Source organism: Homo sapiens, chromosome 2 (assembly GCF_000001405.40).
Source record: "Homo sapiens chromosome 2, GRCh38.p14 Primary Assembly".
NCBI lineage: Eukaryota > Metazoa > Chordata > Mammalia > Primates > Hominidae > Homo > Homo sapiens.
The window spans coordinates 124,234,476-124,258,244 of record NC_000002.12 but is presented as its reverse complement, the minus strand read 5'-3'; the positions used below and the strand labels follow the sequence as shown (position 1 = coordinate 124,258,244).

At 39.3% G+C, this 23,769-nt stretch overlaps 1 protein-coding gene across 3 annotated transcripts in view; it reads right to left on the bottom strand.

Annotated features, from left to right (window-relative positions):
- CNTNAP5 (contactin associated protein family member 5) overlaps positions 1-23,769 on the bottom strand; it is an 895,933-nt gene that overhangs the window by 662,975 nt on the left and 209,189 nt on the right. For all 3 annotated transcript variants that reach the window (NM_001367498.1, XM_017003316.2, NM_130773.4), the window contains exon 3: positions 15,852-16,045. In NM_001367498.1, coding sequence (NP_001354427.1) covers positions 15,852-16,045 — 194 coding nt within the window. The remainder of the gene's footprint in view (positions 1-15,851; positions 16,046-23,769) is intronic.

The following is a 23,769-nucleotide window of genomic DNA, read 5'->3' as shown; positions in this document are numbered from 1 at the left end:
TGAGGTACTGCACCCTCTTCTTTCCCCTGACGACTCTAGGCTGCCTTCTCCAAGTTAGCTCATCCATCGCCCATACCCCAGAACTGTAGCCACCCAGCAGAGTCATCACACAATCTGCATTGCTGTGGGTATTTATGTCATGCCAGGGCATTTGCATGGGTCATTTTCTCACTTGGGGGCTAACGTCTAGCTGTTCCTATAAATATTGTTGCTATATGAGGACAGATTTAATGAGTGACGGGCGAAAGATAATCCCCAGCAAATGCATCAATTGCATGGCTTTCAAGTCAAATTTATAATGATGGAAAAGTAATTTTAGAGAACATTTCGGTTTTATCACTGTGGAATGAGACAGCCAGGGCAAATAGTCAGCAAGTTACTATTGAATGTTTACTCCATACCAGACCAAGTAGAGAGATGAAGGTAAAAATCAGACGAGACTTTGTTTTCCAAAATCACTCTATCCAGTTTCATGGACAAGACTAACTCGCATGGAGCAACATGTTGGGTGGGGGCGGAGGGGGGTGGATTATAACCAAATCTAGAGAAGAATTGTTCCAAGTCCGAAGAGATGACCCAGAAAGGAGAAAGGGAGTGCAGATGTGCAAAGGATCACTTTTACTTGAAGTAATTGAATCAGGAGAAGTGTTGTTGTAGACCTGGGATTAGAGCTGAACTAGATCTTGAAAGATGAGGAAGAATTTACAGAAGGTGGAGACGTATGTGTCAAGAGAGTATGGGGAATTTGAAGGAGAATTCCAGGTGAAGATGGTAGTATGAGCAAAGGCTTAATGATCCAGAAGATTGGCAATGCATAACCAGTCATGGACGTATTGAACCAGCAGTGGCATTGTGCTAGGTGCCCTGGAGGAATACAAATTATTGTGTGCAGGCTGCTGTGTTCAGTGCATGGTGGCCACACCCTAGCAGAGGAGCTCAGAGTTAAGTGAGGAGTAATAGCAGAGGTTGCAAAATAATGAATATTTAAAGAGTACTGTTTTCCTATGGTTGCCATAACAAATTACCACAAACTGGGGGATTTGCAAAAGAAAATTATTCTTTCATATTTCTGGAGGCCAGAAGTCCAGAAGCATAATTCCAACAGGGACACATGATCTCTGAAAACCCCAGGGAAGAATCTTCCCTTTTCTTCTCCTAGCTTCTAGAGGCTCTTGGTAGTCTTTGGGACTGCGTGGGTTGTATATGCATTGCTCTAGTATCTGCCTTTTTCTTTAAATGACCTGTCTTAGGTGTCCCCTCTGTTTTTCATAAAGATATCAGTCATTAGATTTATCTGGCCCTAATTTCAGAATGATTTTGCCTTTAGATCCTTAAGTACTTAATCAGCAAACACCTTATTCCTACATAACATCACATCTGGGTTCCAGGTGCACAGGAATTTTGTGGGAGCACTCTTCAACCTACCACATCAAGTCTATTTGTGCACAAGTTTAAAACTAACCCAAAGAAGTGAGTTTAATCTTATAGCTCTTACATACACTTCCATAGAATAGAAGAGTGACTTTGTTCTTCTGAAACTTAGTAAAACTAAGTATATCCTTCTTTAATTTGCTAATCCATGTTCTATTGGGCATCTTTTCTCCAAATAAACTCATTTTGCTTTTAATAAAAATCGACAGAGGCAGGTAAGCTCCTTCCTTGATTATTTTCACGAGCCAGCTGCAGGAACTTCCTTAGCAGTTAGGGTTTCTACAGTACTGCCTTATTGTACACTCTAATTTCATGTATGTTCCTAAAGATGGTGAACTTATAAAACCATTGGAGACTCACAACCAAAGTTTTATCTATCGATAGGCCTTTCCTCATGCTTAAACTTTAAACTTAAAAAAAAAATGCCAGCCCTCTCCTGAATTTACACTGGTATAAGCACCATGTAATAGCAACTAATACTATCATCCAGCTTCTTGTCACACATACTTCAAAGGTACGGCATATCCTTAGTTTGCTTTATTTCTGAGTTAAGTATAAGTTGCTCACTCTGAATTGATGGCAGCTAGAAAGACATTGACAATATAATATATTATCCGAACGAAGGTTTTTTTTATATTGACAAGTGGCTCAATTAATAATTACTCTAGAACAACAGATGTAAGCAATGTACCATATTTTCCTGAGCAAACGCATAAGATACATCAGCCAATATATCTATCAAGCCTTATCTCTTAGGACCCCAGCACAAGCCCTGTGTTTCAGCCAAACTGATGACATTTCTGTTATTTTCTACACAGTTAAAAGATGTTATATGTATTTTTTTCAAACAATCTTGTGACTTGTCACAATACCTACCTAGCTAATGTTTCTTGAAAATGACATCACATTTAATTATTTAAAGCCAGCATTTATTGAGTACCTACTATGTGCCTGGGCTGCATACGTGCATCTGGATAAGATACAGCCTTGGAAGCTCAGAGGGATTAAGTGGCTATGAAAATGCACACAATAATAAGGGACACAGCCAGGAATGGGGCATGGATTCCTTACTTCAAATCCTGTGATAATTGTACTTGGCACCTCTCTTAAAAGATTTTTTAAGTTTCCCCAAATAGGGATGATTCTGAATTTGGTGCCTTAAAGACTCCTACATTTTTCTTGATCCCTTATTCCCATTGCTTTTATTTACTTTTTAAAAAAAAATTATTATTTTATTTTATTTTATTTTATTTTATTTTATTTTATTTTATTTTATTTTATTTTATTTTTGAGACAGAGTCTCGCTCTGTTGCCCAGGCTAGAGTGCCGTGGCGTGATCTCGGCTAACTGCAGCCTCTGCCTACCTGGTTCAAGCGATTCTCCTGCCTCAGCCTCCTGAGTAGCTGGGACTACAGGTGAACACCACCACACCCGGCTAAATTTTTGTATTTTTAGTAAAGATGGAGTTTCACCATGTTGGCCAGGATTGTCTCGATTTCCTGACCTTGTGATCCACCTGCCTTGGCCTCCCAAAGTGCTGGGATTACAGGTGTGAGCTACTGTGCCCAGCCTAAATATTTTATTTTTTAATTGAGATGGAGTCTCATTATGTTGCACAGGTTGATTGTAAACTCCTGGGCTTAAGCAATCCTTCTGCCTCAGCCTTCAGAGTAGCTGAGATTACAGGTGCATGCCACCACACCTGGCTGCTTATTCCTATTCTCTTCTAGTACAAAATCTGTTACTTTCCTGACCTCTCCTTGCTAACCTGCATTCTTTCTTTAGGACTTTCTTCCACAGCTTTGTACAAACTCTGCTGCTATTTGAGCTTTCGCGTAACAAAATGTTCGCTTATATGGGAATCCTTGTTAGATAATATCTTATCTAGTGGAAGGAGGTTAAGGAATCTGTGTCTGCGGTAGGACAAGTTGCAAAACAACTGCATGCTTCTAGAAATTAGTCAAAAGTCAGTATTCTGACTCACTCATTTTGAATGGCTAGGCAGCCCATTCTGAAATGAATGTACGATGGCTCTGCTATTACTTAGTGTTGCAAGAAGAGATGTTGACAAATGGTTCCTGAGATTCTGGGCCTCCATCAAGTTACTCCATACAGCATCCCATCATCAACCAAGTCCCCAGCTTTTATTCTAAAGCCATGCTCAAATGATTTTACTGGGAACTGACTTAAACAAAATGCCAGTGGCTTAAAATCTGGTCATTGTTAAATTTCTGGCTCTCCTGGTGGTTTACCTTGTTTCCAGATCCACTTACATTTTCTGTCATGTTACTTAGTAACCCATGTCTACCCACAAGCATGGCAGATGCTTCCTCTATCCTGGGAGCATGCTTAGCAGCATCACCCAACAGGAGAAAGGCTGGACTGCGCAGGAGCCACGAAAGGGAGACTGCCCCCCTTACCAGCAGAGCCAACAGACACTGGCATGCCATGGCCTCTGGAATTTGCAAATGCCTCAGGCCTAGGAAAATACATCTGGGGGCAGGAGCTGGGATATTTTGAAGATACATTTACATTTGAGGGAATATTTTCTTACATTTGAGGGAAGAAATGTGTCTTTTGGGATTCTGCTAAAGTCTTGGTCAGCATTCAAGTTTTCTTTAGATAAGGATTTAAATATTTCTAACTTGAGTACTTTTTATATGTCAGGGACATTGGGAGTCTATGTAGATTGCCTCAGTGAATTCTTATACTGCTCTAATGTAGGTTTTATAAAAATTTTACAGATGTGAACTCTAAGGCTTAGGATATAAAATGCTGCCCAGGGTGAAACCATCAGTAAGTAGCAGGGATTCAAACTCAGATTTGCCTAAATCCAAAGTTCATGCTCCAAATCCGTTCATAAAGGAGAATGTTATTAAATACACTTGAATTAAAAGAGACTCAAATGAAACAATATAATCCTGATCTAGTGTGACTTAAAAATCCCCCTTCCCCATCATCTTCTTATCTAAATCCATGGAGTACAGTTACAGGTTGCTGCCAGCACTGTGTCTACTGTTGAATAAACAAAGGTACTTGTAACTGGAAAAAAAATAATTTGGAGTCTACTATCCTGATTAGTATCCAGTCCACCAACCACTCTGATAAGTAGTGCCCAATTATTTTTAAAATACATTATTTTCTTTGGCTTCTTTGTTCTTGTTTAAATAAGGAAATCACACAAGTCATTGAACCACAGAACAATACTCTCAACAAATCTTCATATGTCCATTTATCTGAGGTCCTGCTGATTAGGGAAAGCAATGAATTATAATTGTCTCGAAGAATTGCAATTGTTGCTTTTTAAAGTAAGGCAGCTGGCATACCTGCCAAGGAGGTAGTGGAACAAAAATCTTCTAAATCCTCTATTTACTATAGGAAGGTAAAAAGTTTGAATAACCAAAATTTATAGATAAGAAGAAATCAAGATGAAACAAGCTGAGAATTAAAGATATGTATGTATAGACACATATATTTATACCACACATATATTTATTTAAACTTATTTAAATATATATACAAAAGTATATACGGTAATTCCTTAGTGTCTTTTACAAGTTCTTGGAAATTCAGACTTTAAACAAAACAATGTACAATGAGTCCTCAAATAACATTGTTTTCTTCAATATCTTTTCATTATAACATTAATGAGAAAAAAATTGATTTTGTTACCCACCATTTTGCTTAAAGTCACAGTTTCCAGGAACCCATGGATGATGTTAAGTGAGAACTTACTGTATTTAAATCTACAAATATAAAAACATATAATTTAAGTATGTAAATAAATATATATTTTATGTACTATTATATATGTGTATATATACACATACAGATGTATATGTTTAAAGTTTCAACTTTGTCTTAAATAATAAGATCGCCTTCTACAAATATTGGTCTTTATTCACATCTTTACATTTACATTTAAATAAGTCCATGTGTATGGTTTCAATTTCCAAAAATAAATAGGTTTATGAGATATTCTTATTGATTTTGCAAACTTTAATACCTCAAATTTTTTTATAATTATGCAGTTACTTTTGAAGTCTTTTAGCAATGTTATAAAAAGAAAGATTTTGCTTTTCCTACATGATAATTTGACTTTCCATTACACAAAATTGACAAAGCCATTCATTGAGTTGTCATTTAATTGTTTCAGAAATTATTCAATAAATGACAAATGTATTTCAAGAAGAGAACTCAAACACATTACGTGGAATGAGGGGGGAGTGTATGAAGGAATCATTAGCAACAGATTAGAGTCCCCACCAAAGAAAAAGAAACAAGACTCAAGGGCTTTTTGAGCTGCCACCTCTCCCCAGAGAGGGCTCAGAAAAAAGATGGCCTGGACTCTGCTGGGCAGGGTGGTGGGTCATCACCCATGAATCAAGGACATGAACTAACCTATATACACCTATGCCAGCATTGCAGCTTTGGCATTTCTGGGTTTGAGGGATGCAGGAGCAGCAAGCTTGATGCAAGGGGACTTAGGAACGGGCCTCTAAACAAAGCTTCTCTGGTAAGCACAGGATCTTTCCTTAAATTACGTGCCTATTAAGGGGTTTAGGATGCCCCGCCCAAGCTGTGGCTTGGTTCTTCTTCTATACACACACATACATTCTTAAATTCTCACATATTTATAGCCCTCACATATAAACACAGTGTCTGAAACACAACATAAGCCTTTGCAAAAATATGCACTAGATAGGGAAGGCCTGGAGGATGCCCAGGCATGAAAGTGTCTACTTCTCAGAGGAACATGGCTTTGGGTCACTGTCATTTGCACCTGCACTGCATTTTCCTTTCTCTCATCTACATGCAGAATGCTTCATATTCAAGGGAGGTGCCACACCCAGTCAGCTGAGCTGTTTACACGTAGTGGGCTAGCTTGCTCATGCTTACCTGCTGTGTCTTCTGTTCATCAGTTCTTTCTACTCTGTTTTACAGTCCATTCGTGGAACTCTAGCTCTCAATTATTGTTTCATAAATACAGGCAGGTAGGACAAAAATGTGGCTGAATCATTGCAAAATCAAAATATTTTCTGGGAGAAAAAAATCATAGCACTTCTTCTACTGACAAGTCAGAAACTTCATGCTCTCATCTATGTGCCCATCTGTGCATATTCCTCCATTTTGTACCTGTCCATGCATTCTTCTTACCTCTGACAGGAAATTTCCACATTCTACTCTTGAATCCTCCTTAATTTAGTACCTGCAGAATGTGCCTAACAGATGCTTGATACCCTAAATTACAGTCAGATAAGGCAGGATGTTAGGGGTCCATGATTCTTTGGGGAGATTTTTTGCAAGTACATCTTCCTTCCTACAAAAGGTAAAAAAAAAAAAAAAGCACCCACAGCGTTCAAGTTGAAATAACTCCAGCCCAATTTTTATGACTCCTTCTCTGTACTTCCAATACTCCCTTCCTACAAAAGGAAAAAAAAATCACCCACAGTATTCAAGGTTAAATAACTCCAGCCCAATTTTTATGAGTCCTTCTCTGTACTTCCAATACTTGGGGGGGTGGGGGAAAACTGTTTCTTTTTCCTATGAGCTCCTGAATTAACTTCCGAAAAATTCTTGAGTCACTAAATTAGAGAATTATTTTCAAGACAAGTCTAGGGTGTTAGACAAACTTAGGGGCATCATTCAGCTTCTCTCTCTGATTCCAAGAGCAGCCACAGCAGCAGAACGGTCCTTTGGTTACAAGGCAGTAGGAAATGTGCCTCTCATATGGACAATTGCAATTGGTCAGAGACGTGAAACACAAGAGCAACGCCTGCTCACACTTATTTTGTTTGCACTCTCTACTTTTATTAGCCTCACATAATCAGTGACTAAAATTAGTTACCTTTATCTGCAATTAACATTAAGGCCCACAAAACTGGAAACCGTACTTAAGAGTAGTAGAAACTTGTGGTTACTGTATTATGCTTTCCTTCTTAATGTTGATTGTTACCATTGCAATAATAACTTCAATGAAGCCTGCTTTTTTTTTTTCAACTTAAAAAAAAAATACTTGAGAGATTCTTGGTTTTGTTGATGTTCCTGCCAGGCCTGGAATATTTCCATTTGGCTAGAGCCAGGTAGACACCTGGGGCCTCGAAATTTGACCTAGAGTCCTTTTCTTTGGGCATCAGTAACTCCCCCAGGCTCCTCCTCCAGCTCCCCTGTATGCTGCCAGGACTCTATGCGAATGGTCCCTAATGAGCCTGCTTGGGTAAACTGTCTTCATCTGCAACCACAAGATCTTATTGTTTCCACTGAGTATTTAGTTTATCAAGTGAGAGAAAGACTGACTTACTGTTTGCTTTTCCTTTTGTATACAAAGCTCAAAAGAAAGCAGACCCTGAGAGCCAGTGTCCTCTGGGCCTCTCCCCCAGGCACATCACATACACCTACCTTTCATGGCAATGACATCCCTTATTATTGATAATGCTATGTAAAGATCCTTGTATGGTTCAGTCCATTTAAAGTTTACGCACTGTTGCTCAAAGTGAGGTCCCCAACCAGGAGCACCAGCAGCACCTGAGATTTCATTACAAAAGCAAATTCTCAGTCCCACCCTAGGTCTACTGAATGCTTTCTGCAGGCGGAGCCCAGTAGGCCTTGCCTTGACATGTTCTGTGGGACATTTTGAAGCATGCTCGTTTTTGAGAAATCTCTCCTTTACAGATCATATGAGGTGACTACCCTCATTACATCCACTTTACAGAGGAAAAACAGTGCTTTAGGGTTTTAGTCATTTATCATGGTCACAGAATCCATGTCACACTTCAAAGCTGAGATAATCTATATAAGAAAACAACAACAAAGAAACACATACACACACACACACACACACACACACACACAAAAGAATTCATCCTTGTTAGCTAAACATTAAATAAATAAGGATTAGTTTAAAAATCTCTTCAACTCAGTCATTACACCTAGCTAGCATCATTGACTATATTTACATTTTAAAAATCCGAATACTTTGCTGGATGTTAAAGTTGAGATATTAACTCTTGTCGATGAAAAGAGTCAAACTCTGTAAAAGATTTTAACAGGTTGATTCTGAGCCAAATATGAGTGATTGTGGCCAATGACACAGCCCTCCAGAGGTCCTGAGAACATGTGCCCAAGGTGGTCAGGTGCAGATTGGTTTTATATATTCTAGGAAGGCATGAGACATCAATCAAATACATTTAAGAAACACATTGGTTTGGTTCATAAAGGCGGGACAACCCAAAGCGGATGGGGGCTTCTAGGCTATAGATAAATTTAAACACTTTCTGGTTAACAATTGGTTGAGTTTATCTGAAGTCCTGGGATTAATGGAAAGGAATGTTCAGGTTAAGCTAAAGGATTGTGGAGACCAAGTTGTGCAGAGGAAGTTCTCAGATAGCAGACTTCAGAGAGTGCAGGTTGTAAAATGTTTCTTATCAGACTTAAAAGGGTGCCTGGCTCTTAGTTGATTAAATCCTGGATCTGAGAAGGAAGGAAAACAAAGGGGAAAGGAGATTTTTTATAGAATGTGGATTTTCCCCACAAGAGACGGCAGAGTAATTCCCAGGTATGGCAAGGAAATATATTTTGGGGTAAAACATTTTTATTTTCTTCCTTGTTATGCCAGAGTCAGATTGGAAAGTAAGTCATGATATACAGGGTCAAATAAAACCCATCTGAGGAGAATTGATGGTTTGTAGGGCATGACTCCACAGACCCCTTAGGTAGGAATTTGGGCAAGATAAAAAATCAGAGCTTAGGTTTTGGAGACATTCACTTTAGATTAAGAGGAATCAGAGTGAGGACTAACAGGTTTATACATATTGAAAATACAATTACAAGTTGAGATTGCTGGGAATCATTAAGCACCTTAACAATAAGATTAATTTAATAGCAGTGGATTTAGGAGAATTAATTTTAAGCAGATCATCCTCCTTATTTTGATATCAGCTGTTGGATCCTATCCCACTACACATGCAACCAGTTTGTAGGGGACTGCAAACATCTGGTCTCCCCTAGAACGTGTCCATATGAATATTAATCCTGAAGACTACACATTGACTCCCTGTCCTTGTGATGTGTTTAAATGCCACATGTGTAAATGTGTGAGTGCATTTACTCCTTAAAGAGGTTAGGCCCCATGTTGGGAAATTCTCTGAAACATTTCAGCAAATTCTAGTGTTAAGAAGAGAAAACAGATGGGCATCAGTGAGGAGCTTTCATGGGCTAAATGTGGAGCCAGAGGGCTGGAGGGAGCCTGCTGAAGCTGGGGTGAAGACCAGCTGTTGCTTTCACAATGCTGATTGGCCAGTTTTTCCCTGTTTCCTTTTCTGCAGAGCTCTATCCAGTTATAAGATCATCTAAAATCAGCAAAAGAGCTTAGGACAGAACCACTGGGATTATTCAAGTTGAATGATGAGCTTTGAGATCCTTTAGTTGACTATTCTAAGCTGGCTTCATAGTGAAGTCCAGGCTTTATCTCCATGTATTTCACATTGCAACCCACAGGGTAAGCCAAGAACCAGTGTCTGAGCAAGGAAATGTGGAGGAATGGATGCAATGGGCCTGGAAGATTCTAGATATATCCCTGCCCTGGGTAGGGAGAAAGACCTGCTATAGAGGTGTTAAGGGACATTTTCAAGGTCATGCAAGCAACCAGTGGTGCAACTGTAATCAGATCGTAATCAAAAGCCTCTGCATTTCCCTCTATACTTTATTTCTGTTAGTCTGTGACATTGTAATAACTTGCTTTTGCATTGGTGGTCTCCATTAAATCAGCAGCAAGATTCTGGGCATGCTAAGTTCTTAATTGAGCTTTTAATAATTGCCAAAACTGAAATTAATATCTGTATTAAAAGCTTATTAGTATATGTGCGTGAGAGAACAAAGGAGAGAACCATTTAAAAAATCCTGACAAATATATTTGAGACCATGTTCCTACATGTAGTCTTTATTATTTAACAAAAAATTAAAACAGAGAAGTGTTAACAAACTTTGTTACAATGGCTAATAAATAATAATGTATTAGCTTAAAAAGATACGAGTGTGCTCTTAGTCTACAATATCTATCCAGTCTCTCTCTTCAAATTCATTTTCTATCACTAACCAGCTATATCTTATATCTAATTTATTATTTTTTTGTGTCCTTAATACATCTTCCTTTAAGATTTTGCTTATAGCATTTCTCCTGCTGTGAATGCACCTCACTTTCACCATTTTCTCTTCCCATTTTTTTGTATATTTATTGAATTTTTGTTACACATACAGTACTCTGTAGTTGCTGACAAGCCAACATAACTTAAATATGGTCTCTTCTGGTTCAAGTAGTCTAAGCCCCTCACATTCATATATTGCCAGGAACACCCTCTCTGACAAGCTTCGTGCATGTGAACTGCTGCCGTGCTACCATATACACATATACTGTGTTGCATGCCATTGATTTGTCTCCTTAATGGTTCTGCACACCCAGAAATGGGAAAAACCATTGCTTAAGCCCCTTTGTAAGCCTAGCACCTTGCACAGTGCTTGGCATATAATGAGAGCTTAAAAGATATATATTGATGGTGATGAGATTCTCACTCTCAAATTGTTTTCTGAAATTGGTAGGGTTAAAATACTATATCAAACAGTGATCAATACTCAGGATGTTCTAGGCCCAACGTGGCAGAATAAATGTGTATAAATCATGAAGATCAGAGAGCATCTCCCAGAGAATTTGGAAGTCACTCAAGGATGAAATCGGGGAACTGATGACCAAAATGTATAATCCATTGCTTGAATTGACCTCTGTGTGAGAAAACTGCCAGGTAACAAATGCAAGTCCTTCATGTTAAGACAGATTCCAGAAAGTTACAGGAAATCACAGACCATCAGAGTGCACAGGCCAAAAGCGTCTATAATAAAGGACTATATGGCTGTCTGTTTGGGGAGAGGCAACATAATTTTAATAAGAGAAAACTGCAAGTTTAATATTAATAAAATATAGAATATTCACAGGAGATGATAGGGTAGAGAAGGGGACTGACATGAGCTATGTGATGAATAGCTGAGGATGTGGGGACATTGAATTAGGGCAGAAGACCCTCACTGACAGTGTGGGAATTGTGCTCATGAAGGAAAGGGCTCAACATTGTGGTTATTCATGGATATAACATGAACAGTACATGTTTCTTCTGGCATATCTTTCAAAAGGACTGTTAACAGGACCTGGTCTGAGTGGACTTAGTTAAGAGGTTCCTTTGTTCCAAACAAGTTTACCCACTTTACCAAGCATTGGCTCATGTTGCTGCCCAGAGTCGGAATTTTAATATTTGTAATGATTTGGCATGTCTACACACCAATCAGGAAGAGGTTTTGGAGCTGCTAAGATTCTGAACATTGTTGCAGGGTTTGTCCCTGACACACCTTCATGCCTGATTATTTAGTGAAGCGAGGGACTCTGGCTTGTGCATAAATCATGGTGCATCACTAAGTGGCTGTTTGGTGACCTCATTCATGAGCATTCCACTCAGTGCCAGATCAGAAACTCTCCAAATTGGATTTTTAGGGCATGAAAAATTGCTACCGTACATTGCAAAGGTATCCTTTTAGGATTATTTTTCTGAAGCGAACCTTGTGAAATGTAATAAATCTCTTCAGTACTGGTGAATGGATTGTCCCATCCTCAGGATGTGCTATGTATTGTTTGGTAAATCAATTTTAAAGAGCACTACAAACTATATATTATCTAAAATTTGAGGGTCCGCAGAAGACCAGGTGAACATAAGCATTCAAGAGCTTCTCTGCTTCATTGGCCAGGTGCGGTGGCTCAAGCCTGTAAACCTGAGGTCATGGTGGGAGGATCACTTGGGCCTACGAGTTGGAGACCAGCCTGGGCAACATAGTGAGAACCCATCTCTAAGAAGAAAGTTTTAAAAATTTCAAAAGAATTAGCCAGATGTGGTGGTGCATGCCTGTAGTCCCAGCTACTTTGAAGGCTGAAGTGGGAGGATTACTTGAGCCCAGGACATCAAAACTACAGTCAGCTATGATAAGTGCCACCGCACTCCAGCCTGAGTGACAGAGTAAGACCCTTTCTCCAAATATATATATATGTATATATTTGTGTATATAAATATATATTTGTGTGTATATATATATTTGTGTGTATATATATATTTGTGTGTATATATATACATACACACAAACACACACATATATATACACACACATGCATATATATATTTACACACACACACACACACAGATATATATGTATATATTCTCTATTTTCTTGATAAACCACCTTTAAGCCAGTACTTGATGTTTTAGACATTGACTTTTTCTGAAAAGTTAAACAAAACAATTTAGACAGTTTTGCAAAACCTTTTGTTTGACTATTGTTCTTGTCTTAGTTATAAGGCTTAGTTTTGGTGGACCCAGAGTCTTAATTCTAATTTAAAATTAAAAATAAAAAGTAAAAAGAAAAGCTCTCAAGATAATCTCTTTAATCCAGCAGCGTAATCTGATGAAATCACCAATAAATATTAGTTAGCCACAAGGCAAATTTCACAGATTTCTGTGAAGTGTTTGTAAAACACCCTGAAAGCCTAGAGGGTTTTAGAGAGTCCAAGCACTATTTACAACATACACAAATACAAATAGGTATTATTGGTATCTTCACACTTTTATATTTAGCAACATGTGAATTAAACAATAGGGCTTCATATTATTCTTAAAGAGTTGGCTTGACAAAGTTGACATTTGAGGTGAGAAAAGTAAATCAATTCTGTGAAAATCAAAAAATAAAAATAAAAAATAAATCAGTGTACTAAAAGAGAAACAGAAACTACAGTTTTGCAACCAACTATATTTAGGAATAAATCTTAGTTGTGAAATATTTTGCCACCAGTTTCTGGTTGTGTGAGCTTGGATTGGGCTCTGTGAGCCTCAAGCCTCTTGTTCCTGGAGATGTTAACATTGAATCACCAGTTTATAGAATGACAATTTAATATACATAAAGAATTACATTTGCTTACATATCTTGTGTAATAGGTGTTTAGTAACTGTTAGTTATCCCAGTATTAATTAAGGGGACACCTATTTTTCCAGGGTTGAGCCTAGTTACTGTACATGACCGGTCATGGTATTCCTGCCTAACGCCACTCTATTTTACTCTTTAAATTGGAAGTTGTAATGGTCCCTCCTCAAATCACTTCTCCCTGTACTTACTTAGTAAAAGGCTGCTCCTGAAGCTGCCTCTCTCCCAATTGCCCTGCAGCCACTGCAAGCATCTCTGGGGAGCTGTTGCTGGAATTTCCTGCCTCACTGTAGACGGAGGGCCCTGCCTTTCCTTCTCTGCCCATCCAGCAACTTCTACCTGCCCTACCATGTCAAGGCTGTTTGGGATGCAAGGTAGGGAATGGGGAAAGTCTCCTGCCCCCACCCTTCAATTCAGGGAGCCCTAGTAATTCTGCAGTTCTCTTAATAATCACCCCAAAATAAGTTCCTGCCATGTGTCTAGTGATACCGGGCACAGGGGCTAAATGGACATATAAAGAGATCCCTGCCTTTGAGGAGCTTGGAATCATTTAGAAACACAGGGAAAGTGACAAGGGTGAGGAAGTGAAAGAGGCTTTGTGCCCCCTGCTCATGAGCCCAGAGGAATTGTCATCCCTCGAAATACATCCCAACCCAGGGGCTAAGCTGAAAGTAGATTATTTGGTTCTAAAGAAGATGAAACTCATGATTAAAAACAAAAAAATTAGGCACAATAACTCAAAGCTACAACTCAATCTAAAGACAACCAGTCCCAATGACAAGTACCAGAGAAAACAAAAAATCCCACATCGATTTGTCCCTCTAAAGTCAACATAAAAACCTTAAAATTGTTCCTCAAAATGGAAGGTGTGCTTATTTCTTATCTCAAACTAAAAGTGAAACAAAATGAAAACCTGTAATAATTTATGGGGACCTCAAAATTGAGAAAAAATAAAATAGTCCCCAAAATACAATTTTTTTTCTTTTTCAACTTTTATTTTAGGTTCAAGGGGTACATGGGCAGGTTTGTTACATGGGTAAATTGCTTGTCCCTGGGGCTTAGTGTACAAATGATTTCATCACCCAGGTTTTGAACACAGTACCCAATAGGTAGATTTTGGACTCTCGCCGTCCTCCCAACCTCTCCCTTCAAGTAGGCTGTGGTGTCTATTTTCCCCTCTTTGTTTCCATGTATACTCACTGTTTAGACTATTTTTGAAAATGAAGAAAACTTACGCCCTTTATAAATATTATAACCTAATATTACAAGTGACCCAGAATAAAGATGACATTAATACTATTCTCAGGATTCAGTCTGCCATAACTAATTTTAATCCTCAATTTATGACTGTTTTCAATTACAACCCCAAGTGATGGGTAGGCAATTAACAAATAACAATGAGTATATAAAACAGAAGTTATTTCATTTTTATCAGGGAGATGGGGCCAACATGGGAATGTGAATGTGAAGACAACACTAATGTAAAGTATAAATTGGCATTGATTTAAGAGGACAGAATCTGAAAAGGAAAGAATATGCTATTAATTTCCGTATCTTCACATTTTACACACATTTGGATTAAAAAATGGTGACTTATTTTCTCAATGAAAAATAATATAAACTTACAACTTATTTTATTCAGTGCCTGAGGTTCTGAAGCTACCTCCAGGTGACTTTTGCTATCTGCTTCACCTCCACCTTTTCCTCCATTAATAATTTGCTGACAGCCTTTCACCCACACAGTGAGGTCAAGAGTGTGGGGCTGGGACTGGGGAGGAAAGTTCTGTTTTGTAACTTGGAGCAAACTGTCCTTCACTCTGAAGCTGAAGATTGTTTCCAATGACAGAATAATTCTAAATTTTCTACTTGTTTTGTAGTTTTAGTTTTCAATTATTTGTAAATCTACAATAGAAGCTGCTTCGTGGCTTTAAAGTCAGGCCAGATTTTAAAGATTACCAAGTCACAATTCATACATTGGGCAATGTTGATCAAATGATGTAATTGAGCTAGCTGTGTTGTTACAAAATATGTGAAGTGCCTGGCATATAATAAACTAATAAGTCAATAAACACTCAGTAAATTAGTATAATCACATTAATAATCGTACTTTTTGGTACATTTATCTGTTTTTTAATTAATTTTTATAGATGAAGAAAGTGAGGCTCAGTCAGTGAATTACCCAGTTTACTACAAAAAGGGGAACATACTAAACTATTTGCGACAGACATCCTAATTTTCCTAGGAAGTAGAACCATGCCGGGCATGGGCCTTAAAAATTGTCTAATTATTTCTAATGGGCACTCACCAGTTATTAAACTACCAACAATCTGGATATTGGAAAATGACGGAAATATACTCTGGTTACCATTAGCACATCTCAGTTTTATTCATTGGAAGGAAAAAGATGTCCTACCCAGATGCTGTCTTCTTGTTTGTACTGTTTCCAGTTGCGTCCTGTGTCACTGAACATCAGGCTGTAACTCGTCACCCAGTCAGAGCTTCCGTATCTTCCCTGCGTGGCCACTGCTGTAATCTCTACTCTGTTTCCCAGGTCCATCTGGAGCCACTGTTGAGCATTGGAATCTGCTGGGGACCAACCGCCAGTTCCTGGAACAGGATCAGAGAGAGTGAGAGAGAGTTGTAGTAATGTCTCACATAGCTACAATTTTCAACTATCAAAGGGAAATGAAACAGTGTTCAACTAAGATGACTCTACCCCCAAATGGGCCCTACTCTTCCCTGCCTCTGTACTTAACCCCCTGGTACTTTCCATTCTCCACCTCCATCAAAATCTCTCTCATGGTTTAAGACTCATGCCAGAAGCTGTATCTTCCATGCTTCCATCCCTATTTCCTTAGTCATTATGACTTCTATCTTACAAACTCCTAGTGACATTTGTTTTATTTATTTCTCTTCTTACAACTTCAGCCTTTGATTGCAGATATATATGAACTAGGCTTACATGTGCTCTCTCTCTCTCTCTCTGACTAATATATCGTTCCTTCTTTTCTTCCTTCTCTTCCTTGTTTTAGTGTTCTTTCATTACCTTCTCTCTCCTCGGTCTCTGAATATTTACTATGAACCTATCATGGTCAAGATATTGTGCTGCAGATACAAAGATGAAAGGACACCGACTATGCCTTTGAAGAGTATCATTCATTTATTCGGCAGATGTTTGTTGAGCACCAGGAGTATGCTGGGTGCTGAAGAGAGAGAGAGAGGCTGACAAAAACATGTGATGTGAAAGAAACCATCACAAGAGGTAAACAGCAGGTACACAGAGCACAGAATGCCTCAGGAGCTGATCAGAGAGGCCTTCTAGAGATAGCAATAGTAGAGGTGAAACCTGAGGCAAGTGCAGCCATATCCTAGGAAAAAAGGTGGAAAGTTCGATGGAGATTAGCCAGGGAAGAGGGAACAACATACACAAAATCTCAGAGGCATGACAGAGTCTCTAACATTCTTGGATCTCGTGTGATTCAGTATACCTGACATGTAGGGGCATTCTGACACACATACAAAAACTGTTTTGGCCCGAGAATTTTGTATGTATCACACCTGAGGTTTGCAGAAGATCAATGTGAGTTCTCTCTTAGTTGAAAGACTTGTAGCCTAAATTTTCTGTTTTTATTTCACATAGGAGTAAAAAAGACAATATTCACTTCTACTGTTCCCAAGTTTCACAAATCTTCTGAAGCCCATGTGGGAGCTATCGCAGACTGTATTATGCCATGGGTAGAGATAGCATAGAAGCAACTCAGGACATCAAGTAGGGAGAGGTAATTGAAGTTTTCATTTAGAGGAGTTAATCAATAACCTTTTTCTTTCAATCTATGTCATTGAAAATCATTTTAGCGATGTTTCAGTCTACTTTCTCGCCACCTTGGAAGAAGTCATTTGGACATCTCCTTGGTAACTGAGAGTTTTCTAGAGCCCCAGCTCCTCCTGCAGAGTCTCTCATAGTACAGGACTGCAATGCAGACAGAGTGATAGAGGGCATAAAGCCAATCCTATTCTGTCTTTAAGGATGGAAAAATAGAGGACTTAAAGGCACATCTTGCAAATTGTGGTTGATTTTCTTCAGTAAGCAGCTAGCCCTTAGCAGATTTTGTTTGAGAAAAGTTTTGATTTTTTTCTTTTTTTTTTTCTCACCATTCCTGAGAAGATTCAAATGCAGGAAAGAAGGGGAAGGGAATGTGCTCAGCATCTATTGTGGAATGTGATTTTTAAGTGTTTTTTATGAATACAGTGGCAGTTATGGCAGATAGTCACTAATATCCATTCTCTCTTCCTTCTTTGGTAGTAGAATTGCAGTGAGTGCATGGCTTAATGGCAGTTTTCAGCTTTCCATACTTTCATGGTTATGGCCATGTGGTCAAGTTCTCTCCAATAAGAATGTGAGTGGGAATAATTTGTGCCACTTCCAGGCTAGCGTGCTCCTTCTCCACTTGCTTTCCTTTTCCACCACTGATGGATGCAGCTGACAACAAGATCTAGATGATGGCAGAATCACAGTATGGAAAGATCACATGAAGGAAAGTACTTGCCTACTTGAACACGTTCACCTAGTAGATGAATGAGAGCTAAACACTTATTGTGTTTAAGTCATTGTGCATTGGACTCTATTTGACACTGCAATTTTGTCTACTTGAATAAATATACAATATCCTTTTAAGTAAATAGCATTATCTCCATCATAAAGTTGAGGAAACTGAAGTCCAGCAAGTTTGGAAAATTTGGCACCCAGGATTAAAACATAGGGTAAATCCAGCTATTTGCAATTATTCTTCAACAGGAAAAAAAACAGTTTATAAAACTCCAGAAAATTAGTAAGGAGGAAAATCACTGGAAGTAGGTATTTGAGCAGAGATTCTGAGATGCCAGATCTAGGAGTACATTTTTGTCATTCAACTCTGTCTTCCTCAACATATTCACAATTCCCATTCCCCTCTGCCTTTCTCTAGCTTCTCAAAATTGACAGAGAGGCTTATAGAGAGGGAGGTTTTATATTTCAAAAAATCCAAAATAATTCTAAACATATTCTTTATTTTATTCAATGTCTTCTGCTGCCCAGTTCATGAGGCTGCATTCTTTCTCAGTAAAAAAAAAAAATGTTGTTGAAATGGTCCCCTCTCAGCAATATTAAAACATGATAGAAAATAAATGTATATGGCGATTTTGTCTGTGGTGAATGTATGAGTGATTTTATACTCTTCTGATTTTTGCATATAACATAGTTTCCCTTATCAACATTTTCTTCTTTTATAAGCTGAGAATTTTATTACTCATATGTGATTTATTGCGTAAAGAATATGTACAGCAATTTGGGAGCTGATGCTATAATATAGGACTTTTGCTGTTTCTGTGACCATCATTATTTTTAAAATGAAAATTCTTAAGCCTTAACTGTTTCTCTTTTACCCTCAATAGTTCACAACTAGACTTCCTCATCATGCTTTAAAGTTTTTCCTTCATCTATTCTAATTAGCATATGATAAGAACTTACATGAAGAATGGAAACAAGGAAATAAATTGACAAGAAATTTAGCTTGCAAAGAATAAAATAACAAAAGACTGATCAAAGCTAAACCAAACCAAGACAAACCAAAACAAAAAAATAGAGAATGATTTAGCATTAAAGTTTCTGCAAATTTGTCTAAAGAAAATCATAGCTCCCTTTTTCCCACAGTAAAAAAACTTAGCTTATTAATCTCCCCCAAATTAACCAAAATGGAATAGCTGTTGTTACCATTCATCAACACATCATGTTAAAAATTTTCTGAGCCCAAGAGTTTCAGCCAAAGCTTTTAAAATGGAGGGATGCTATCTGGGTGATAATTGCCGAGGACTCTTTCCTGCTGTTGAAGATGCTCCCCGCATTACAGCTAATAGGGAAGACACCCAGGGTTGCCATGGTTGCTATGGCAAACATTTCATTCTTTCCACCAAACAATAAATGTGCTTTCACAAATGATGAAAGTAGCCTGAAGAAACTATTTGTAGTCACTATAAAAACGCACTGCACCTACACTAGCTTCTTGTTTCTGAATTATTCTCTAAATTGGGGGTATAACATACATACAAATAAGTGCATTTGGCAAGTTGAAGGTGTTGACTGAGGCAATGCTGTCTGTAATTTTGGCTGATGTATCAATGGCTATTAACTACAAAAATTCCTATAAACTCTGCAGTTTAAATTTAAAGGATATTTAAAGAAGTTTACACTTAAAGGGAACACTTGCATTTAAAGAGAAAATAATCTCACCTTAGAGAACATCTGGAATTGTTTAAATGTTTGACAAACAAAAGATCCAAAATGATTTGGAGGCTATGTCTTAGTTATTTCTAGCATACTCCAAGCCTCATACTCTGCAAACTATATTATTTGACTTTGGAGGAATAGATGGAATAGAGATGCTGTACCAAAAGTCAGGCAATCTGGTTCAAGACCCAGCTCTGTTCCTGATGTCACACTAGATGAGAGATTCTCAAATGATCTCCATCATGCAAACAGGATAGTGGGTAGCATTTCCAAGATCATAAACTAGGAAGTAGCAATGCAGGAGCTCCAGACCCAGGAAACCTGCATCCAGCACCCAGGTCTTCCCTGGGCTACAAGCGGCCTCTCAAGTGCACCAACAAATCCCTCAGGTCCTTGTCCTCCTGCTTCCTCATAAGAGCAATTCTCACTAGAAACATAATTCACCTTGACATTGTTTCCAGTATCTCAGTTGATTCTCATGGAAATCAGCAGTAGCCCTTTTTAAATTTTTTCAAAGCAGCCTCAATGGGCCAGGCAGCTAACCCAGATGTATGGCTAAAGACTGCACTCCAACCCAGTTCTAATTTCAAGTCCCTGCCTGAGGTTTCAATAGGAACCAACATCTTAAGAAAGCAAGAATAGACTTGTATGGAGAATTCTAAGCAATTGTGTTTTGTTGTTGTTGTTGCTGTTGTTGTTTTTTCTTTTGAGACAGAGTCTTGCTCTGTCGCCCAGGCTGGAGTGCAATGGTGTGATCTCGGCTCACTTCAACCTCTGCCTCATGGGTTGACGCGATTCTCCCAACTTAGCCTCCCGAGTAGCTGGGATTACAGGCGTGTGCCACCACATCCAGCTAATTTTTGTATTTTTAGTAGAAACAGGGTTTCACCATGTTGGCCAGACTGCTCTCGAACTCCTGATCTCAGGTGATCCACCCCCCATCTCAGCCTCCCTGAGTGCTGGGATTACAGGTGTGAGCCACCATGCCCAGCTGCAGTTTTAAGTAAGAAAAACAAAACAAAACAAAACCAGATCTCCTGCCTCCCAGTCACTCCATGCTCACTTCTATATACCAAGACACTTATTGCTAATCCTGCATTCCAAACTGCACACACTAGGGTAGGCTGTAAGCATGAAGCAGAATAACCAGTAGAAAATGCAGAAATTCCTCAGTTTCTACACTTATTTCCACTTCTAACTCAAAAAGGGAAATGAGAAGTGATTGATGCCACACACTGGAAATGGGCACAAAATGGATTATATACTAGTCTCTGCAAAACGATATTTCACAACCGTCTTTCAAAAAAAGAGAGTACATTTAGTCCAAGACCAACTGGAGTTGAAAGCGTCATACACACACATAGCAGCATAGCATTTTCATGCCTAATGTGTTTTTGTTTTCTTTCTTTTTTCTTTTGACAGAGTCTCGCTCCTGTCACCCAGGCTGGAGTGCAATGGCGTGATTTCGGCTCACTGCAACTTCTGCCTCCTGGGTTCAAGGGATTCTCCTGCCTCAGCCTCCTGAGAAGCTGGGATTACAGATGCCCGCCACTACACCCAGCTAATTTTTTGTACTTTTAGTAGAGACGGGGTTTCATCATGTTGGCCAGGCTGATCTTGAACTCCTGACCTCCAGGTGATCCACCCGCCTCGTCCTCCCAAAATGCTGGGATTATAGGCATGAGCCACCATGCCTGGCCACACCTAATCTGTTTTAAAAATACAGCCTGACCATTTTTTTTTTTAAAGCCTAAAATAAACCCTATAGGAAACAAGTTTCCCAGGCAGTTACTTCTGCTGTCTTCCAGAAGGCCCTATGAAACTACAAGCATATTCTCACAAATTACTGTGAGGCTAACTTGAATCACTAGCCACATCTTTAATTATTAAATGGTCGATGCCTCTGTAAGTAAAAGTTCTAGATGTTTTAGGGACACAGCTACCTGGTAATGGTAATGAATAACAGAAAGAGGCTCTCCCATAAATATCGAACATTATGCAGTATGTGTAAGAGTAATAACAACATTCACAGACATGCTTGTAGCACTCAGAAGGGCTTCCTGCTCCTCCCTGTAGAACGGGATCACCCATGTGTAATAGGACCTGTGGCTGGGCAAGAATCTTTGAGGAGGAAAGCTGTTGGCAAGAACCCTGGGCGTAATCTTTCTGCTCCTGGGCAGGTGCAGGAAGGCTAAGGTGTTGCAGCCTGGTCCAGGCCACGCCTCCTGCACTTCCAGTTCCACATTAATTAGGGACTAAGGAGTTAACCAGGGGAAAATAAAGTGGGAACTTGGCTCACGCCTGTAATCCTAGCACTTTGGGAGGCCAAGGCGGGCGGATCATCTGAGGTCAGGAATTCAAGACCAGTGTGGCCAACATGGTGAAACCCCGTCTCTACTCAAAATACAAAAATTAACAGGGCATGGTGATGTGTGCCTGTAATCCCAGCTACTCGGGAGGCTGAGGCAGGAGAATCACTTGAACCCGGGAAGCAGAGGTTTCAATGAGCCAAGATCATGACACTGCAATCCAGCCTGGGCAACAGAGTGGGACTTCATCACTAAATAAATAAATAAATAAATAAATAAATAAATAAATAAATAAGTGGGAACTTGCCAACACACCATGCACCATGTGGGTTGCAAAAATGATAAACACCTGTAAGAAAATCTGGAATGACCCTGATTGAGACCAGTCTGCAGAAAACAACAAAGGAGCTTTTAAGAGGAGGTTCACCTAAGGGAGTGGTGATTTTGGATAATAATCAGACCCGGTTATTATAGTTGATGGCTGCCAAAAGAGTAATGTCTAGGGAGAGTGATTCTGTGTATGACTTAGTTTGGCTTTCCTGGAAGTCAGTTACAAAACAAGGATTTGAATGCAAGTAGTTCATTTGGGAAGTGATCCCAGGAAGATGAGGCAGAGCAGAAAGGAAAGCCCATCTATGGGACATCATCAGGACATCATCCCTGTGAGTGAGTTTCATCCCAGTGGGATAGGAAGCACCTTAGGGTTATCTCATTTGAGTGGGAGGGAGCTGGGGTTTTTATACACCAACTTGGTCAGGTATTAATTGAGAGCTTCTGAAGAGCAGGGTGGCATCTAAAGCACAGAGAGAAACACCGAGAGGAGAAGCTTAGCTCTTAGGGTTGAAAGTGGTCTTGTTGAGGATGTTCTCAGGTCTCTATCCAGATCCTCTCTAGCAGGTGAACTCATCCTTCAGCTGTGAGTGCTAGATGACAACTAGAACTATCCCCTTTTCCAGAGATTTGTCCTTGGCCAAAGAGAAGCCTTCTTGCCTGGGAGCTATCACTTCCCATGTCCTCAACTCAGCGAGTGTCAGATTGATACAAAGTTCAAAAGGCTGGTCCCAGTGTCTCAAGGCATGACAGACTTTACAGTGTAGTCTGAGGTCTAGAACATCTTTGTGGCATCTGAAGGAACCTTGACTTCAGTGGAGACTATACTCTTGCTAGCTTTCCCCTCTGTCTTACCCTGCTTCCCTCAGGCCCTATCTCCAGAGACCACCGCCTCAATAATTACTTCCACAAAAAGTCCTGTCTCTGCTCAGCTTCCAAGATGCTGGCTTTTGGCTGAAATGGTGAAGTCTGAGGCATATGAGCACGAACAGCCTCTGAGACAGTGTGTGAACCTGGCTTCACACTGGTGTGTCTGTCAGTGTCTATAGTGAGAAAGCTGTGTTATTATTTTGAAAGACGCTCAGTACTCAAGACAGTTTTGCTGATGTCCTCCAATAAATATCTTCCCTTTGGAAAAATGGAGCAATCAAGGCCCTGATGGAGCAGGAAAGGAGGTCTGTCTGCCTGTTTCATAGTTCAGAAGTTATAAAAGAAGTGAGGGGGTTTGGCAGGAGGGCAGTCTGGGCTGGGAAGAATTGGAGTTCAGACCCAAGATGGATATTCCATATTCATGACCCCTACAGACCAAGGGCTGATTCATGTGTGCATAAAAACACCCAGGCATTTTAAAAAACTTGGATGGGAGTGTCATGTATATAAAACTTACAGGCTTTAAAACTAATTGTTCAATATGGTAGTGAATATTTAAA